Source organism: Homo sapiens, chromosome 17 (genome assembly GCF_000001405.40).
Source record: "Homo sapiens chromosome 17, GRCh38.p14 Primary Assembly".
Classification (NCBI taxonomy): domain Eukaryota; kingdom Metazoa; phylum Chordata; class Mammalia; order Primates; family Hominidae; genus Homo; species Homo sapiens.
In genome coordinates this window covers 13346545-13351461 of record NC_000017.11, presented here as the reverse complement: position 1 = coordinate 13351461, position 4917 = coordinate 13346545, and the positions used below count along the sequence as shown (strand labels likewise).

At 43.7% G+C, this 4917-nt stretch overlaps 1 annotated feature.

Moving 5' to 3' along the window:
* Positions 3208 to 4407: an enhancer, noted in NCBI's record as "P300/CBP strongly-dependent group 1 enhancer chr17:13250372-13251571 (GRCh37/hg19 assembly coordinates)". NCBI's record gives its function as "activates an origin of replication core promoter dependent on BRD2, BRD4, P300/CBP, MED14 and CDK7 cofactors, with strong dependence on P300/CBP, by STARR-seq in HCT116 cells {active_cell/tissue: HCT116}" and the evidence as "EXISTENCE:reporter gene assay evidence [ECO:0000049][PMID:35650434]".

Sequence of the window (4917 nt, the reverse complement as noted above, 5' to 3'; positions counted from 1 at the left end):
GTGAAAGTTTGGCAGTTTGTTTAATCACTCAGAATAATAACTGGAAACAAGAACACTCTACACATTAAAAGCAGATTTGTTCAAAGAATGTTGACCACTTTGTGTCTCGACTGAACTACCACGGGCTCAAATGTTCTGGACAAAAATTTGTAACAGCAAAACCCTTTTCAGGGGCAAATGAATCACTCTGTGGGTTAGGTGCATTTTTCTACCCAATGGATTTGTCGTAGCATTCCTACTTTCTTGGATTTGGACTGTGCCCTAAAGCCCTGGGCTATACCTCTGGCTGGAGCTGTGTAACTAAAGAAGAAAAAATAACAGAATTGAAAGAGATGAAAGAATCTAAACCATCTCCTACCTCATCTAACATACTCATGCCACACAGATGAGCAAATAGAGGGAACTGGTTAGTTCAGGGCCATTTCCCCAGGTTCTAGTCCATCTATCCTTTTGGGAAGTGTAAGAGATACACAAAATCTAAACACAATTCTGCATTAAACTTTTTTTTTCACTAAAAGAAAATTTGCTTTAACTCCCCTGAAACTGGGTGGAGTGTAAAAGACATTAACTATTTTATAATTATATTGATTTTCTGCTTCATTTAGGTTTAGGATAGTAAGAAAGAACGTGATTCATTCGGTAGTTGTAAAGTCAGGCTGACATTCAGTTTGCCAGTGGACAAAATATTAAAACACTTCCCTACAGTTGGGTAAAGCTGTTTCCCAGAGTGCCTGGGGAGTCCCCCGCAACCATCCCGGCAGTCAGCAGCTGCCCCTGCCCAGGCTTTCCCGCAATCCAGCTAAAAGGTTCACACCAGGGTACTTCTGCAAAGCAGCATCTGCCAGTGCTGACCGCGCACAGCCTGTCCCATAAAGCTGCTACCTATTTTGGATCTCGCTCCTGCATATGGCAATAGACTTTGCTAAAGACTGGTGTAGTTCTGAGAAGTGTGAGGAATGATCTCTGCCATCACCTACGTGAGCATAGTTAATAGAAGGAACATAAATACTAAATACAACATTTCCACAGCAATCTATTCCTCTTACCACATGAATAGCTTTTGAGCACTTGCCATGTGAGGTCAGCCCTCTTTAATATTCTCAATATCCATTAACTCGCTTAGTCTCCACAACAGCCCTATGGAGTAGGAACTACTAATTTACAGATGAAACAGCAGAGAGGTAAATTAATTTGGCCCCAAGTCAAACAGATAGGAAGTGGTGGAGGCAAGATTCCAGGCCAAGTACTAGGACTCCAGACCCCAGAGCTCTTGTTTCCAGAGGGGAATGTTCCCTGGGCAGTGTGTGGATTATGATGATAGACTTGTATGTGTTGGCACCTTTGCTTGAACCTTCTAGGCAATAATAAATTGGAATAAACTAAGCGAGTGAAGGGAGGGTTAGGGTAAATTTTTATTCTGGCTTAATTCCCTACTTAAAAGTTGGCGATAGGTGTCTTTATTTAGCTGGCTTTAACGTTCTTGAAATGAACTATTTTCATCTTTTTGTTCTGAGGGTGATTATCAGATGAATTAATGGGTTATTTGGATCAGTCATTAAATTACTGTTAAATTGAAATCAGAAGTGATTCAAAGACAGAAGCCTAAAAGTTGTATGATTTCAATTGTGTGAAATGTTCAGAATAGGTAAATCCATGGAGACAGAAAGGAGATTGGCAGTTTCTGGGGCTAAGAAAGAGGGAAATGGGGTGCAACTGCTGAAGGGTTTGAGGCTTCTTTTTGAGGTAATGGAAATGTTCTGGAATTAGAGCGTTGTGATAGTTGCACAACATCATAAGTACACTAAAGATCACCAACCTGCAAACATTAAAAGCGTGAATGCACTTTGGGAGGCCGAGATGGGTGGATCACTTGAGGTCATGAGTTCAAGAGCACTCTGGCCAATGTGGTAAAACCCCGTCTCTACTAAAAATACAAAAAAATTAGCCTGGTGTGGTGGCACATGCCTGTAGTCCCAGCTACTCAGGAGGCTGAGGTGGGAGAATTGCTTCAACCTGGGAGGCGAAGGTTGCAGTGAGCTGAGATAGCGCCATTGCACTACAGCCTGGGTGACAGAGCAAGACTCCATCTCAAAAAAAAAAAAAAAAAAAAAGGGTGAATTTTATGGTTCACGAATTATATCTCAATTTTTAAAAATAATTTTTAAAAGGAAAAGAAGTTCATAGGTCGGGTGCAGCAGCTCACACCTGTAATCTCAGCAGTTTGGGAAGCCAAGGCGGGCAGATCACTTGAGATCAGGAGTTTGAGACCAGCCTGGCCAAGATGGTGAAACCCCATCTCTACTAAAAATAAAAAAATGAGCCAGGCGTGCTGGCACATGCCTGTAATCCCAGCTACTTGGGAGGCTGAGGAAGGAGAATTGCTTGAACCTGGGAGGTGGAGGTTGCAGTGAGCCGAAGTCACGCCATTGCACTCCAGCCTGGGCAAAGAAGTGAGACTCCATCTAAAAATAAAAAGCGCATCAAAGGCCCCTCTGTCAGGGGATCACTAATTGCAGGAGATATTTTGACCTTTAGCTGGTTGAGGATGAACTACTTCCAGAAAGAAGAGGACTCAGACCACAAGGAGGTAGTGGGTAATCTTTTGATGCAATGAATTGAGAAAAACATCTAGGAAACATTCTATTCAGTGAAATGCAGTAAGTAATTCCTGAGTAGGCACCATATGTAAGAAACAGTGCTACACCGTGACTGACTCTGAGAATATGGTAGCTCTGATGTAGAGACATCTAAGTTGGAAAATAATACAAGGCCAGGTGCGGAGACTCACGCCTACAATCCCAACACTTTGGAAGGCCGAAGTGGAAGGATCACTTGAACCTGGGAGTTCAAGACCAGCCTGGGCAACATAGTGAGATCCCATCTCTACAAAAAAAATTAAAATTAGCTGGGCATGGTGGTGTGTTCCTATAGTTCTAGCTACTCAGGAGGCTGAGACAGGACTGCTTGAGCCCAGGAGATTGAGGCTTCAGTGAGCCATGATTGCACCTCTTACTCCAGCCTGGGCAACAGAAACAAAGCGAAACCCTGTCTCAAAAGGAAAAAAAAAAAAAGAAAGGGAGAGAGAAGACAGACCTCTCATGGTGAGATAGAGTAATTGCTATTGGAGATGTGCCCAAGGAACCCTGCTGGTGCCATGGTTCAATGACTGGAGGTGGCTGGGCGTGGTGGCTCACGCCTGTAATCCCAGCACTTCGGGAGGCCGAGGCGGGTGGCTCACGAGGTCAGGAGATCGAGACCATCCTGACTAACACGGTGAAACCTTGTCTCTACTAAAAATACAAAAAATTAGCCGAGCGTGGTGGTGGCACCTGTAGTCCCAGCTACTCGCAAGGCTGAAGCAGGAGAATGGCGTGAACCTGGGAGGCGGAACTTGCAGTGAGCTGAGATTGCGCCACTGCACTCCAGCCTGGGCGACAGAGAGAGACTCCGTCTCAAAAAAAAAAAAAAAAAAATGACTGGAGGCAGTTCCTAGTCACTTCTACATCACCAGATCCAGACCTTGGACTTTAATGGAATATCTAGAAAAGGTATTTCTTGCTTGCTTAAATGATGCTCAGTGAAAGCACATGAAGCCGATAAAATCATTTAGAATGGCAGAGCAATAATGTTAGATATGAGTTCTAAATTTCTCTTCAAAGAATCAATATGTCAGTATGTTCAATTCTTTGCCTTCTACTTTTAAACTTAACTTCCTCGTAAAGCAACCTTTTTCAATTACCTCCTCCATCCTGACTCATTCCAATTCCCTGCTCTGCCCTGACTCATTCTCCACCCTGACTCATTCTGATTTCCTGCTCTGCTTCCCGCCAAACCACTCACCCTGTCACTGTCTTTAAATTAGCCAATTGGAATTAGTTTAGCCTGTGTGGTCTAATCCTAGCCAATAGGGGAATGACACAGCAGCAGGGGCCACGTGTGTCAGGGATAAGAACCCCTTCCCCTCCCTTGTCCAAGTGTGTGCTCACCATTGCTCCGTCTGTAAGGGCGCACCCTTCTATAGAAGTACATTGCCTTGCTGAGAAGGAAAATTTTATATCGAGCACTATTTCTTTTGTGGCACCGAAACTTTATTTATAACAATGTGAAGAATTACAGATGCTTAAGTTTATTTTCCACGCATGCCAGCTCAAGTTGTGGTGCACCTATCAAGCATAACCTCTGATCAAAGGGGGCCTTGGTGAACACAAAGAAGAGGAAAAGGAAGTGAATCATCTGGACAACTAGATCATTTAGAGCTAGGCTGGAGTGACTCCACCACACCACAAAAATTCCTCTTTAGTGATGAAGATGCTCAGTGTGGCTCCATCCTTTCCTTTCCTGCCTCGTGGTAACGTGTTGAATAGGTCAAACCTTTCTGGTCCCTTTTAGTCATGAGACATTCTCATACCAGCTAAACTATACTTCTAGGAGGAAAATTCACCACTGAGTTTAACACCACTGGATTGTATAATTGCAAATGGTTGAAATTATAAATATTATGTGTATTTTAATTTAAAAAAGTAACAAACACAAAGGAAAAGAAGAACAAGCTCAATCTCACAGGCAATACAGTTTCTCAGTTTCCTTCAAATCAGGCCTCAGGCCCGCATTACACCCTAAGGATAAGCACTGGGCGTGGGCAGTGGGTGTGGCACCATATTCCCTTTTCACTCCCCCATTCTCTTTCCATTTCCATCCTCCTTCTTCTCATAGCTCTACTGCTCCCTGTTTCCCTGAGGATAGGGCCAGGCCAAAGAAGCAAAATTAGAGGGAAAAGGCAAGAACTTGTCACTAAATATTCTTTGCCTTCTGGCTTGGCCATAGGTGTCCTCTGTATGGCGCGTATCCATGTGAGGGCACCTTCCGGGGGTGTAGAGAGAGGCTCTCTGAAAGTCCCTACAGGAATTCTCACTTCAT